We start from the raw sequence: 13,896 nt of genomic DNA, 5'->3' as shown, positions 1-13,896 counted from the left end.
GACTCTGAGACAAGGATGAGCATGAGATTCATTGACTTGGCAGGTGATCCCAGGAAGCACTGTAGGGAAATGGAAGAGTGACACAGAAAGGGGGAGGAAGCCAATGGAGGAGGACTGACAAGCCCCTGTGGGCAACTGGGAACTCAAACGCAATCCCACTGGAAGCCCCTGAGAGATGGCAGAACACACCTACAGGAAGTAAAGATGGTTTTCATCATCCAGTTCGCATCTGTCACTGGCTGAAGGCTGCTCCTGGGGTCATCAACTCCACAACACTCCTAACCTGTCCCATGCACAGGACAGACAGCCTGCTTCTGTCTGCAGAGAAGGCCTCTGGCAGAACTGCAGGGATGCAGGCAGAAGCCTCAGCATGCAGGGGAACAGCGAATGCCAACGGTGGATGCACAGGGCACCAAAGTCATCCTGTGCAGCTTCCAGAGCATTCTGTGGCCCCTTAACTCATCTGTATTTGATGTAGGATGATGAGCCCCAAATATCAAACTACAGCCCTAACTTTTATTTGGCCTCCAAATCTTTATATCAGCTCTCCCTCAGACATCTCACTTTGGATGTCCCATGAGCACCTCAAATCATCAGGTCCTCAAACTTAATGCATATGCATCTCCATCCTCACCATTAAACCTACATACCTCCTGTTTCCCTACTGGGATGGATGGTGCCCCCAATTACCCAGTCACTCAAGCCCAAACCAGCTAAGCACAATCCCTCAATCCTGTTACTTCTCTCACTGCCCAGCCTTAGGGTGACTCCCCTACCCCACCCTATCTCACCCAGATCATGGTATCAGCTTTCCAGGTGTCCTCCCCACCCCCATCATGCCCTCTGTGGGGCAGCCCAGGCAGACTTTCCAACACACAGATCTGGTTGTGTCCATCCCCTGCTTGAAATCCTTCATGCTTCCCAATGCCTCGCCAGCCTAACATCCCCGCACCATCATTGCCAACATGCCACTTTGTATTATCCAACTCTTCCAAGTTATTCCACATTTCCCTGCCACATGTTCATTCCTTTGCACTTGCTGAGTCTGCTGCTTTTTGTTTGTTTATTCAGACAGGATCTCACTCTGTCACCCAGGCTTGAGTGCAGTGGCACCATCATAGCTCATTGCAGCCTCAAATTCCTGGGCTCAAGGGATCCTCCTACCTCAGCCTCCCAAGTAGCTAGGACTACAGATGTGCACCACTGCACCCAACCTGAACCCACTTTCTAAACTCAATGACCTCTGCTTTTGTCCACCTGGCAAATAACCCTTCTCGTTGTATCTCAGCCCTGCCTCCTCTAGCAAGTGGGAGCACGGAGGTCCTGATTCCCTCCGTGCTCCCACTGTGCTGCTCACCTCCTCCTCGGCAGAGCAAGGACATCATGAAATAGCCATCGTTAAACTGCAGGTCTGCCTTCTCCACTAGACTGTGAGCTCCTCCTTGAGAACAGGGACATTATTTTATTTTTGTTTCCCCAGCACCTTAGCACAGAGCCTGCTCCCAGGAATCCCTCCATATATGAAGTGACTAAGCTAAGGTGACCCCACTGGACAGTGTCTGAACCACGATGACACTCATTCCCACCTTCTCTCCTTCTGCTGGATAGAGCCACCAAGTACAGGTGACATGTGCCTGTTAAGGTGAGGGACAAAATAGAGCAGTGCTTCATCTACCAACATGGCACTCCTGAACCCTCCCAGCAGGGTTATAATAGTGGGGACAGGGTGCACCAAACCATCAGTGGCCTCTCAGGTTGGATGCAGGGTCACACCAACAGACAGGTGTGGAACCTGGGCAGAGCAAGGAGATTCTGTCCCACTGGGCACTAAAGACAGCCTTGGCCTCAGGGACCCTGGATTCTACCCATGTGGCCCAAATGGCCAGAGAGCATCTGGAGCTAGATCTGCTATCTTCCTGGGTGATAAAAGTCAGGAAGGTCTTCTAGATCTTCACTTGAGGAGCCTATTTTTCAGGGCAGTTTAATTCCACATTGTTTGTTCTCTGCTCTGCAGACGCCTAGGAATTCTGTGCCAGGAACCAAGCTGAGAAACTCCGCTGAGGAAACCACGGGAATCTCATTTGAAGATTCAAATGGAAAAGCTGCTTCTCCTCTCTGAGCCTCAATTTTCCCGTTTGTAAAATGGTAACTTGTACCCAAGTCCATTCCAGCTCAAAAATACTATGATTCCTTTCTTAACTAGGAGGAGTTAAGGGGAAGAAAACTATTATTTCAACTGTGATCTCACCAAGGAACAAGTCTGAGGACTGAGTCGGGGGCCAGTGGCATGGTGTGGAGCACTCAGCATTCGGGGATGACCACCCTCTGCCCAGCCCCTCCCCTGGTACCTGTTACTCTAGGGGAGTCCCCTTCTCCTTTCTTGGTTTCCTTGTCTATAAAAGAGAATGATGCCAGCCACACCAGAGGACCACCGTAAGGAGAAATGCAATGTATTATATAAAGTGCCTGGAGCGGGCCAGGCGTGGTGGCTCACGCCTGTAATCCCAGCACTTTGGGAGGCCGAGGCGAGCGGATCACGAGGTCAGGAGATTGAGACCATCCTGGCTAGCACGGTGAAACCCTGTCTCTACTAAAAATATTTAAAAAATTAGCCGGGCATGGTGGCGGGCACCTGCAGTCTCAGCTACTCGGGAGGCTGAGGCAGGAGAATGGCGTGAAACCCGGGAGGCGGAGCTTGCAGTGAGCCGAGATTGCGCCACTGCACTCCAGCCAGGGTGACAGAGCGAGACTCCGTCTCAAAAAAAAAAAAGTGCCTGGAGCAGTCCTTGACCCATAGCTGACAAATCATTATCGACATAGTTTCCTTTCCCTGGGTAACAAGTGCTGGGTGCCTCCCCTGCTCAGCCTGCAGAGCCTGGAGACCAGAACACTCTACTCTCACTCACCGCCTCCGTCCACCCCAATCCGTGGCTTCCCTCCCCGTCAAGCTCAGCTCCTTGCCCGAGTTGGTCCAAAGGCCAGAGTGGCCAGGTGAGCGTGGTTAGCCACAGACGTGACCACCCAAGACCCCATGACCCGAGTGGCAAGCCTGAATCCACACCGAGGCCTGAATCCACACCGAGGCCTGGGGACCAAGTCCAGTGCTTTTGTCACAAAATAGCAGACCCCATGCGATGCAGGCCCAAGGGCTCACTGCCTACTCGCTGTCCATCCATCTCCCTCTGTCCCCAGGTGACCCCATTGCATTCCTGTGGTTTGGGGTTTGCTGGTGTGGCGGCGGCGACTGAAGTCTTGGCACCCTCCCACCAGTGAGTGGGGAGGGGGCTCCAGGGGCCAAATTCCTCTTCAAATGAGATTCCCGTGGTTTCCTCAGCTGAGTTCCTCAGCTCGGTTCCTGGCACAGAACTCCGAGGCGTCTGCAGAGCAGAGAAAAAACAATGTGGAATTAAATTTCTCTGGAAAATAGGCTCCACAAGTGAAGAGCTAAGCATCTCTTTGGGCTTGGGTCCGATTGCTGTGCCCCGTGCCAGGATGGACTCCCTCCGCCCTACAGGCACGGCAGTTGAGCAAGCCCAACTCCTTCCCCCCACCCACCACCTCTCCCCACTGTCGGACCTCAGAGCTGTCACCAGAGATGGGCTTTGGCTTTTCCTAGACTCTGCTGAGGCACCCTGACCAGAGACAGCTGGGATCCCCGAAATAGGAGCATCCTCCTGGGATGGGGTCACACCAGCTCCAGCTCTGTCTGATGTTGTCGCCACCGCCAGGCAGGATTCAGGATCAGGTTGCAAAGACTAGGGGACATGGTGAGACAGGCTGTCTCCCTGGGTCCCCAAGCCTCAGCAGCATATTCTAAAGTGACAAACCCCAAGAGGCATGGAGGAGAAAAAGAAAAAGAGGTAAAGTCACCAGCTGACCTCTCCCAAGCCCCAGCCCAATACCATCTTTGATCCTGGCAGGAAAGGCCCCTGGACATACGGTTTATCCGTGCAATGGAATGTTATTCTGCCTTAGAAAGGAATGAGCTGCTGAAATGAGCTCCAGCATGGAGGAACCTGAAGTCATTATACTAAGTGAAAAAAGCCAGACACAAAAGGCTGCATAGTGTGTGACTCCATTTATATCAACTATCCAGAATAGGTAAAGCCATAAAGACAGAATACAGATTAGTGGTTGCCAGGGCCTGGAGGAGAGGGAGATGGGAGTGACTGCTTAATAGGTATAGAGTTTCCTTTTGGGGCTATAAAAATGTTCTGGACCGAAATAGAGGTGGTGGTTGCACAACATTGTGAATGTATTAAATTCACAATGGTGAATTTGATGTCATACATATTTTACTACAATAAAAGGACAAAATGAAAGGCCCTTGGCCTGGGTCCCCGGCTATAGAGGAATTCTGCTCTGGTCACCCCCATAGAATGAAGAATCTGTGGGTCCGAGTGGATGTCACCAGAACCACAGCCTCCCTTCTAGACCATGCATTGCCCATGGAGGACCATGGTATTCCTGCCCATACAGCCCTGAAACTCTTCTCCAGGTTAATTTCCCCAAAGCAAGTCACACCCTGGGCCCAAGGGATAGCTGTTTGAAGGAGAGCGGTTAGAATTTGGCTTCTCCAGGCTCTTCTGTCCCCCAACTTCTGGTGCAGGATGAAGCCAGGAATGAGAAGGTAAAAGGACCAGACCACCAGCGAGGGACTGGGATCCAGGGGCCAGCCCTCCCCAGGCAGCTACCTCCTGGCACAGAACTCCTAGTTGTCAGAGAATTATGATTTTGACCCTGGCCTTCACAGTCATTATTTTAAAAAAAAATCAAGGTAGATGGATAGAACATATTTTATTAACAGTTTGTAAGCTTGACTTATGACTTTTGAATATTTAGACTTATGGTATGTATTCATCTTCTACTTCTATATAAAAAATGACCACAGATTTAGTGGCTTAAAACAACACCCATTTATTAACTCACAGTTAACACGTGGCTCCAGGGATGCCGTGTGCAAAAGGGCTGCCCCATGTTGTCAGTGACAACAAGCCAAACCCCAGAAGGGAAGACAAAGGTGGGCATGCCGCGGTGGGGCCAGGGAGGTGTGAGAGCACAGCATGTCCTCTTACTCAGCTGCCAGGCTCAGCAGGAGGCTTGACTCATCCCATGAGCTCACCTTGGGCCTAGGGCCATGCAGGATCGCACACGAGCTGGCCGGGGATGCCCTTCTCCTGGCCAGCGTCTGGACAGACGGTCCAGCAGCTTGGGTCATTGCTGCACAGGTACCGATGCCTCCAAGAGCAGCCCTGCACTTCCCCTCCTCCAAGGACAGCGAGAGGTCCAGGAGGGCAAGCCCAAGGACGGCAGTGCCCAGCCCCCCGCCTATCTGTTTCTGGGCACAGATGGCTGATTTGCTTTTCAGATCTAACTGAGGTGTACAAATCAGCAAATTATGTCCCAAAGCCAAGAACAACTTCCTTGGTTCTGAGAGGCCCACATAACTTACCCCTGGTCACGGTGATCTAGACTTGGTCTGAGAGGCCTGGCTCTGACGTGAGGAAGGAAGGGAGTGGGAAAAGAAAGGGTCATTCTAATCAGAACCACACCTGTTCTTGGGCTCACCCGGTGCTGCTCCCCAGAGAGCACAGAGCAGAGCAGATGTTGAGGTTCTGGCCCTGAGTCCAGGGAGACAGGTATTCTTAGGACCACAGGACCCTATGCAGGGGTGGGGCTTGCACAGGCTACCCTGCATCACCTCCACATCCACACTGTCAGGGTCCAGGGAGGATCGTGGAAGGCAAGGACCTGAGTTTCAGTCTGGCATTATCACCCCATTGGCAATGGAGCCCATAGGCAACCCCCACACTAAGCCTCAGCTCACCTGTCAGTCCAATGAGGTTGCACATACATACTCCAAAAGTACTGCGGAATGTGGAAAGAAAATTTTAGAATTCATATACATGTATTTGTATCTAAAAGTAAGAAAGAGGGAGGGTGCAGTGGCTCATGCCTGTGATCCCAACACTTTGGGAGGCCAAGGTGGGTGGATCACGAGGTCAGGAGATCGAGACCATCCTGGCTAACACGGTGAAACCCCGTCTCTATTAAAAATACAAAAAATTAGCCAGGCGTGGTGGCGGGCACCTGTAGTCCCAGCTACTCAGGAGGCTGAGGCAGGAGAATGGCGTGAACACGGGAGGCGGAGCTTGCAGTGAGCCGAGATCACGCCACTGCACTCCAGCCTGGGCGACAGAGCGAGACTCCGTCTCAAAATAAAAAAAAAAAAAAAGAAAAGAAAAGAGAGAAAAATAAATAAATAAATAAATTCAGGTCAACTAATATTTAACATACAGATTGACCTAGGCACCCTCACTCAGTCTGTTTGTTGGCCAATTATGTCCCCTGAATTAGTCACTCCATCAGGCAGAGAACTTGAGGGCTATACTCTCACTCTGTTGCTCACTTTCAATGTATTGTGACATATTGATGTCTGCATATCCCAGTTTATACTGCCTGATTCAAACTAAATTAGCCCTCCTTCAAAAAAAAAAAAAGGATAAACGGCCTAAAAAGATTTCTGCAAAGAAACAGCAAGAAAATAGTAGAAGATCGCCTCATTTGCCATATCACAAAGGAAGAACAAGTATTGCCTATTGAGTGCTACAGTAGAGATTTCCAAAAATGAAATCTCTTTTCATCAGGATAAAGGTGAAGTGCAGCCAAGTTATCAAGGAAGCAACTGTGGGGGAAGGAAAAGAATATGACAGAGCATTTGAAAATAAGGTTTGAAAGTGTTCCTATTGTTACATGATTTTGTGGCTGAAAACCTCATGTGTTCCCAAGATCCTTCATATCTGCCCTTCAAACAACGAACTAAAAAAGAAATGTTTAATTTGCTTAAAAATCTTCTAAATGAAGAGTTTGAGTGGGTTTAAAAGCCATTTGCTGAAAGTATTATAATGCAACATATTCCAATTTCTTTGCAAGAACAACTGATTGACATGAGAGAAGATGGAAATTTGCAAGCCAATTTTGAACAAAACCTTTGCATAATTGGTGGATGAAATTGAAAATTGAAAATTAATGTCATGATTTAATGAGCTGAGCCCACAATGCACCCCATCCGTCTGGATCTAGGTATCTTCGTGAGGCCTTCTTTTCAGCTGTGACAACCATTAAAACTGAATATTGAAATAAACTGAATTTAGAATGAGACATTCAAATCACTGTTCCACAAAGTGTTTTCAGATTTCACAAACCAGGAGTTTCAAAAATAAACAAGCATATTCAATCACGTTGCTCTCATTGTGAGAACAAAAGGGTTTTAATTAAATGAGATGCCATAAAATTACTTTTAAATATATCATTGAAAAAGATTCAATGTATTTTTTCTTCATCTTTATTTAAAATTTTAGAATGTATATAATATAGTTTACACATATACGTATAATGAGCATAACATATTTTATAATGTACATATATTTTTGTAATGTAAATACTAATATATTTATGTATATATAGCTCATGTATATAATTTGTAAAGTTCCACGTACCTAATGTTTTTGGGTTTTTTTTTGAGATGGAGTCTCGCTGTGTCATCCAGGCTAGAGTGCAGTGGCATGATCTTGGCTCACTGCAACCTCCACCTCCTGGGTTCAAGTGATCCTCCCACCTCAGTCTCCCAAGTAGCTGGGATTACAAGCGTGCACCACCACATCCAGCTAATTCTTATATTTTTAGTAGAGATGGGGTTTCACCATATTGGCCAGACTGGTCTTGAACTCCTAACCTCAAGTGATCCACCCACCTCAGTTTCCCAAAGTGCTGGGATTATAGGCGTGAGCCACCACACCTGGCCTATATATCTGTAATTTATAAACAAATAGTTGTTAGGTTGCCTGCTCAACATTTTTTACCGATGGGATGTGTGAACAACAGAGTTTGAGTCTGAGGATGCGGCAGTGCCTGAGGGGCCCTCCATTCTGGGGTTGGAGAATGAATGGGGTCACCCTGACCTGGATGTAAGCCTTCATAATAAAGATGTTCCTGAATTGGACTTTACCTGCCCTGCAGAGGCAAGCCATTGACTAGAGCTTCAGGCATGTGTTGTTATTATTATTATTATTATTATTATTATTATTTTGAAATAGGGTCTCACTCTGTCACCCAGGCTGGAATGCAGTGGCACCATCATGGCTCACTGCAGCCTCAGCCTACCTGGGCTCAGGTGATCCTCCCACCTCAGCCTCCCAAGTAGCTGGGACTACAGACAGGCACCACTGTTCCCAGCTAATTTTTTTTTTAAGGAGATACAAGGGTTTCACCATGTTGCCCAGGCTGGTCTCAAACTCCTGAGGCTCAGATCCACCTGCCTCAGCCTCCCCAAGTATTGGAATTACAGGTGTGAGACACTGCGCCCGGCCAGGCATGTGCATTTTATAGCTAGGGGGGTCAGAGGTCCAAAAGCATAAGACCTGAGAGCAGCCCCATTGGAAAGAACATCATCTCCTCCCCTGGAAAAAGAAGGACCTCTCTCGCCACTGCCCCTCACCCCTCCTACACAACAGGAGGAGGAAAACTTTCCTCCCTCTCAGAGGGACTTCAGAGGCCCTAAAAGGGTAACTCTCTTTCCTGGAGTATCACAGTAAATTGGCAATGGAGACTAAGTGTGAATTCAGACACCCAGAGCGCCAGTGCCGAGCTTTTACCTGCTCTGTTCTCTCTTGATCCTGAGCCTGGTTTTTGGTTACCAAAATTCTCACTATCCTCTGTACTGTAAAGTCCTCCCTGCTATTCATTTTAGATTTGCATGTTGCAAATAAAGCCTAGAATGCTCAGGAGGCTAAACACTCAAAGTCAATGACCTGCCCCATTGAGGCAAAGAACATCTCTCTCCAATCTTTTGGGTCTGTCTTAACCCCAAAGAAGAGGGACTCCCAGAAAGCAGTGAAGTCTGCACCTCTGCTACCTTCTCAGGGGGCTCAGCACCTCCCTGAAGCAACAGAACCTCCCTAAGGCACACATATGCTCATGTCATTCCCTCCCTGACCTTGCCCTGCTTAAAGGCTCCCCGTGTATCTCCACTGCCCACCACAGAAAATTCCCACTGCTCAGGCCAGTCTATACCCTGGCCCCACCCATTCTCATCAGTCACCTGCAAGAAACAGAAGCCACACTAGCTAGTGTAAGCAGAGAGGAATTTCATGCAGTATTCTGTCCTTAGAAAATGATCAAGAGGGCTAGAGGAGCAAGCTGCACTGCAGGAATAGCTCCCAGAACACAGGGGCCGAGCAACCCACCTGGGAGTCTTGCCCTCTGGTACCATCAGGAGAGTAAGGAATCAGGAGTGGCTGGGCACAGTGGCCCACACTTGTAATCCCAGCACTATGGGAGGCCGAGGCAGACGGATCACTTGAGGTCAGGAGTTCCAGACCAGCCTAGCAACATGGCAAAACCCCGTCTCTACTAAAAATATAAAAAAAAAAAAATCTGGGCATGGTGGCGCACACCTGTAGTCCCAGCTATTCGGGAGGCTTGAGGAGAATCGCTTGAACCCAGGAAGTGGAGGTTGCAGTGTGAGCTGAGATCGCACCACTGCACTCCAGCCTGGGCAACAGAGTAAGACTCCATCTCAGAAAAAAATAAAAGAATCAGAAGCCGCTCAGGGTCTGTGGACTTCAAGAACCATCATCACAACTGATTCAGGAAGTTGTTTCAGCAACAAGCTCTTCATGCCCACAAAGCTGAACACTGGATGTTAGAAAACAGCTGCTAAAAAATATACCCAGTGTCCAGCTGGGCGTGGCGACTCAGGCCTGTAATCACAGCAACTCGGGAGGCTGAGGTGGGAGGATCAGTTGAGGCCAAGAGTTTGAGACCAACCTGGACAAAATAGTGAGACTTCCATCTCTACAAAAAAATTAAAAGCTTAGCTGGGTGTGGTGGCATGTGCCTATAGTCCCACCTACTCAGGAGGCTGAAGCAAGAGGATTGCTTGAGCCTGGGAGTTCAAGGCTGCAGTGAGCCATGATGGTACCACTGCACTTCAGCCTGAGAAACAAAGCAAGACCCTCTCTCAAAATAAAGAAAATAAAAGGGAGGCAAAGGGAGATTAGACAGACAGAAGAGGAGAAGGAGATGTGAAGACACAGACTGAGACTGGAGTGATGTGGCCACAAGCCCAGGAATTCCAGGACAGCCACCAGAAATTTGAAGAGGCAAGGAATGGATTCTCCCTTTCAATCCCTGAAAGGAGCATGGCTCTGTCCAATTTCAGGCTCCAGACTGTGACAGAATAAATGTTTGTTGTTTTAAAGCATCAGGTTTGTGGTAATTTGTTACGATAGTCTCGAGAAACTAATAAAACACATCTTAAAAAGTAAAAAGAAGCAGAGGAAATTAATTTTAATAATGTTTTTATTTAACCCAGTATCTATAAAACAGCATCATTTCCACACACAATCAATATAAAAAATTACTGAGCAAGCATGGTGGCTCACGCCTGTAATCCCAGCCCTTTGGGAGGCCGAGGTGGGAGTATAGCTTGAAGCCAGGAGTTTGAGACCAGCCTGGGCAACATAATGTTACTGCATTTCTAGAAAAAAAAAAAATTATTCAATTACTATTGAGATATTTCATATAATTTTTCATACTGAGTCTTTAAAATCTGAATTGTATTTTGCACCCACAGCACATCTTTGTTTAGACTAGCCACATTTCAGGCGCTCCGTATCCACACACGACTAACGCTGACAGAAGATGGCTCAGCTCCAGCCTTTTGTAGGCCTCTTGGTTGCACCAGGCTGAGATTTGGGGGCCTTTCTGTCTATGAGTCATACTCCCCCATGAACAGTGTGCTCCTTGCGGGCAGGAGCCTTGTCCCATTCATCTCTATATCCTAACATCTGAATGCAGGGGCACTCAATAAATTGTTGTTTTTTGTTTATTTGTTTGTTTGTTTGTTCTAGATGGAGTCTCACTCTGACACCCAGGCTGGAGTACAGTGGCGTAATCTCAGCTCACTGCAACCTCCACCTCCCAGGTTCAGGAGATTCTCCTGCCTCAGCCTCCCGAGTAGCTGGGATTACAGGTGCCCACCACCATGCCTGGCTAGTTTTTGTGGTTTTAGTAGAGACGGGATTTCACCATGTTGGCCAGGCTGGTCTCAAACTCCTGATCTCAGGCGATCTGCCCACCTCGGCAGTGTGCCCTCCCAAAGTGCTGGGATTACAGGCGTGAGCCACCACACCCAGCCAAATAAATGTATTTTGAATGAATGAGTAATGTGGGTTCTCTACAAGAAAAAAACTCAGTCAGAAATTACATTTCTTAGTTTCTTTTTTTTTTGAGATGGAGTCTTGCTCTGTCACCCAGGCTGGAGTGCAGCGGTGCGATCTCGGCTCACTGCAAGCTCTGCCTCCTGGGTTCACGCCATTCTCCTGCCTCAGCCTCCCGAGTAGCTGGGACTGCAGGCACCCGCCACCACGCCCGGCTCATTTTTTGTATTTTAATAGAGACGGGGTTTCACTGTGTTAGCCAGGATGATCTCGATCTCCTGACCTCGTGATCCACCCACCTCGGCCTCCCAAAGTGCTGGGATTACAGGCGTGAGCCACTGCACCCGGCCATTTCTTGGTTTCTTTAATTGATTTTCCCTCTCCCTTAGTGAGAGACATGCAGAATACATCAAAATATAGGCTGGACTTTTTTTTTTTAATCTACTTGGAATCCCTTCTTTCAGAAGAGTAGATGTAGGACAAGGTGCCCCCGTCAACTAGGGAAATAGTGTATTTTGAGGTTGAAAAGAAATGCTGTGAATAGGCTTATATCTAGCAAAGAATTGAATTAATAATTAATAACCTTCCAAAACAGAAAGCACCAGGACCAGACAGTTTTACTGGTGAAATCTACCAAACATTTGAGGAAGAAATAGGACCACTTCTCTACAACCTCTTTCAGAAGATAGAAGCAGAAGGAACACTTCCCAACTCATTTTATGAGGCCAGCATTGCTGAAACCAGAGATACAAAAGAAAACTAGACACCAATATCACTCATGAACATAGATGCAAAAATCCTCCACAAAATGTTAGCAAATTGAACCCAACAATGTATTAGAAGAATTATACAGACCCAGGCATAGTGGTACATGTCTGTAATCCCAGCTACTCCAAAGTCTGAAGTGGGAAGATCACTTGAGTCCGGGAGGTTGAGACCAGCCTGGGCAACATAGCAAGACCCCATCACAAAAAAAAAAAGAATTATATACCATGACCAGGGGGTTCATCCCAGGTATGCAAGGAGGGTTCAAAATTCAAAAGTAAATTAATGTAATCTATCACATCCATAGGCTAAAGAAAAAATGTCATATCTATAGATGTATAAAGAAATGCCACTCCATCCATCCCTTGATGATCACGGCAAAGGGCAGTGATGTGGTGTTGGGCAGGGTTTGTGAGGCAGCTGGGGCTGAAATCACTGTTCTGAGACCATCTTAAGCTAAAGGAAGCAGCTGGGTGTGAAACAAAAGAGCCAATCTGCCAAGAAAGACCATAACCCCCAGGTATGGGTCTGTAAGGCTGGAGGACCCCCTGGCCCTGAAGAACCACTGCAGAGGCTATCCATACCAGCCCCAGGGGAGATGGCCAGGGTTACCCCGGAGTTGCCACAGTCTCTGCCCAACACTTCGCCCTACTGTAACCTGCCCCTTCCACTCAAGAAACTCACGAGTCGCCCCTCCCACTCTCCCACAATCATGAGCCACAGCCTCATGGGGGAAGCCGCCATGTGCAGTGACATCCACTCCAGGGCAGGAGCACCACATTTTTCATCCAAAGACATAATTGCTCATCAAGCCATGTGCCAACAAGGCTGCATGGACACCTAGGGACACCTTTTATGTCACCATCAGGAAGGGGCACCTTATATAACTTTCCATAGCTTTGCTCACCGGCCTCCCATGCACTAGTTCACCATGCCTCAGTGAAACCCCAGGGCATCAAAAACTGTAAGGCCAGAAGCCCTTCCACTGGGCATAATGGGGGCATGGGGCAACCCACCCCTGAGATTAGCCTACTGGGATCACCATGAGTCCCTGGGCTGGAGACTTCGCCAGCTCCCTCACTTCAGACCGCTCCCAGACCAGGCTCTGCCATCAGCACCCTCCCCTCACCATGTCTGAACACCTCCTTACAACATTCTAGGACCCCTGCCCCTCTAGAACAGGGAGAGAGTTGGAACCATGGAGAAGGAGCTACCAGACCAGACTTCTGGGCTTCCTGATCTCACCCTCCAATGTCCTCCCCTCAGGGAACTTCCACCCTGGGGCACAGACCAGACGAGGGACAGAGATAGCCCATGAGTGAAGGAACAGCTATAAGCCCCTTCTCAAAGCCCTCCAGACACTTCAGCCTCCTTTCCTTGAGTTAGAGGCCCCATCCCAAGCTAGAGTCATTACTGTAAAAGGAGAGAAAGAAGAAAAGACAAGCTCGTGCCTAGCCTTACTTCCAGTGGGCCCTTACCCTGTGCCTGTCCCAGTGTGACCCAGCACAAAGGGGGACTGCAGAGGGTCTCCTGCCCACTGGCATCCTGCTTTGTCAAGGCCCTCACTCTCTGCCAGCTCTGCCAACCCATGGCCTCTGCCCCAGCCAGCACCTGAGGAGTGCCCACTGCACACCTTGATTCTAGCTATGCCCTGTCCAAGCAAGGACTCCCTGGCCATGTGGTGCCACGAGAAGCCCAAGCAGGAACTTGGGAGCCCCTCACACACACCCAGACCCAAAACCCACCACCCAGTGCTTCCCTTCCTGCTGCCTGTGCCAGCCCCACCTGAGCTCACTGGATCCAGCAGGGGTGGGGCCTACTGCTGTCAGGGCCACGTGCAGGGCCCGCCCGGAGGGGAGGAGAGAAGGCGGGCAAGCTGCTTTTAAGGCAGGTCTGGAGGTGAACTGGC

The sequence above is a fragment of the Homo sapiens genome, chromosome 17 (assembly GCF_000001405.40).
Source record: "Homo sapiens chromosome 17, GRCh38.p14 Primary Assembly".
In the NCBI taxonomy this organism is placed as follows: domain Eukaryota; kingdom Metazoa; phylum Chordata; class Mammalia; order Primates; family Hominidae; genus Homo; species Homo sapiens.
Note: the sequence above shows the minus strand (reverse complement) of the source record.